Here is a 2,138-nt window from a genome sequence, read left to right as displayed (position 1 = left end):
TGTACATGCCTATGTGTTTATGTACATGCCTGTGGGTTTATGCACATGTGTTATAATGCCATGCCCATTTGACAGTAAACTCTTATAGGATCCTGGGAGATGCATCAGATCTTTAGTAATAAGACACACATGTCAGCTTACATTTCCAAAAGAAGGAAATAAAATGAACATCACATTTCATGTGATGCAATCTTTTTATCCTTAATCCTTGAAAAAAGCCTACCAGCAGATGGAAACATCTCTATTTTCAGAGTGATGAAGCCGGCATCCACAATGTATGTGTACCGTTTAGGACTCATGATCTAGTGAGTGATCAGGGTCAGACTCAAACCCGGTGTTTTGAGTCTGAGCTTTTGGTTGCACCACTTTTTTTATACATAATGAGCCCCGAGGAAATATTCTTAGATTGGTTTGTTTCATCAGGTAAATCTCAGCCATTCTGAAAAAAGTTCAGGGCAAGTTATTGAAAGCCTGTCCTTGTTCTGTCCACTAGGATTGAGTCAGAAAGGAAAAAAAATGTGATGGGCTTAATTGTATCCCCCTAAAATTCATATATTGAAGTCCTCAACTCCAGGACATCAAAATGTGGCTGTATTTGGAGACAGGGTCTTTAAAGAGGTGATTAAGGTAAAACGAAGTCATTAGGGTGAACCCTGATCCAATGTGACTGGTGTCCTCATAAGAGGAGGAGATGAGGACACAGACACACACAGATGGACGACCACGTGAGGACACAGGGAGAAGATGGCATCTACAAGCCCAGGAGAGAGGCCTCAGGAGGAACCAGCCCTGCCCAAACCTTGATCTCCAACTTCCAGCCTCCAGGGCTGTGCGAGAATAAATGTCTGTTGTTTAAGCCACCCAGTCTATGCTATTCTGTGATAGCAGCCTGAAATGGACTAAGACATCTCATTAGAAGAGGCAATGAGGACACAGACACACACGGAGAGATGACCCTGTGAGGGCCCAGAGAGAAGACGGTGTCTACGAACCAAGGAAAGAAGTCTCAGGAGGAACCAGCCCTGCCCACACCTTGATCTCACACCTCCAGCCTCCAGGACTGTGGGAGAATAAATGTCTGTTTCTTAAGCCCCCTGGTCTGTGGACCTTTGTTACAATGGCCTCAGCTGACTCATACAATGGTCTTGTGTGGCCCTGTACTCAGGACAGCTAGGGTCTGTGGTATCTTTACAGAGAGAGAACTGTTTACAGACTGCATAGCCAGTCCTGAACTCATTCACTGCTTTACTTAGGTTACTTGCCACTGTCTTTGTTTTGGGAAACAAAAAATCACAGAGGTGACTTTACTGAAACCTCAGTGCAAACTGTTTGCAAATGGTCTCTTACTGGGTAATTGACAGGACTCAGCATAAATGGGAAATAGAAAGTCTCTGACACATGAGCCACTTTTGGCTAACGTTTCTAGCTCTGGCCATCTGGGAATTCCAGGGGGCATCAGAATAATCTTGGGGAGGGTGCCCTGGTAGAGTAATTGATCCCAAAGTCTTGGCTGGGTCCTGAGAGACTTTAAAACTGGCAAGCCACCTAGATGCAGAATCGTTATTATAAAACTGAAAATGGAATTAATTATCAATGGTATGCACTCAAGACATACTTAGAGTGCCCTTCAATTAGTGGCAAATATTTTGCTTAAATTTCTGTCCAAAATGTGGATTGCCTTCTGGAATGTGGGAGGGATGAGAGTTACAAATGCGTAGTTGTGTCCATGCTCACATCCTACACAATCATTAGCTGATCAGACAGAGAATTAGCTTTCCAGACTTCCTAAATTTTTCAATAGGACTCTAAAAATACAGAAAGCCCACATGTATTTTCATTCTTATGGAATGTTATCCTTTTGAAAAGTATTGCCCAAGAGTGGAGGCAGCAGAATGACTGACTTCTGGAAAACAGGCGCCTCTAGCAGGGTAGTTTTTCATCGACTGTGACTTCTTCATGGCTGCCCTGTCTCCACCTGGAATTCATGGAGAGCCCACGTGGCTTTAACTTCACCATCATAAACCATAAGGCACAGACATCCCTAATGCAGTCTCGTCACATGGAAAAAACCATGTGAGAGGATGGATATATTACATTTGTATTTTAATAATATCTATATGTATCCCATAACAGCATGT

Source organism: Homo sapiens, chromosome X (assembly GCF_000001405.40).
Source record: "Homo sapiens chromosome X, GRCh38.p14 Primary Assembly".
Lineage (NCBI taxonomy): Eukaryota > Metazoa > Chordata > Mammalia > Primates > Hominidae > Homo > Homo sapiens.
The sequence above is the reverse complement of the archived record's forward strand: the minus strand, read 5'-3'. Positions refer to the sequence as shown.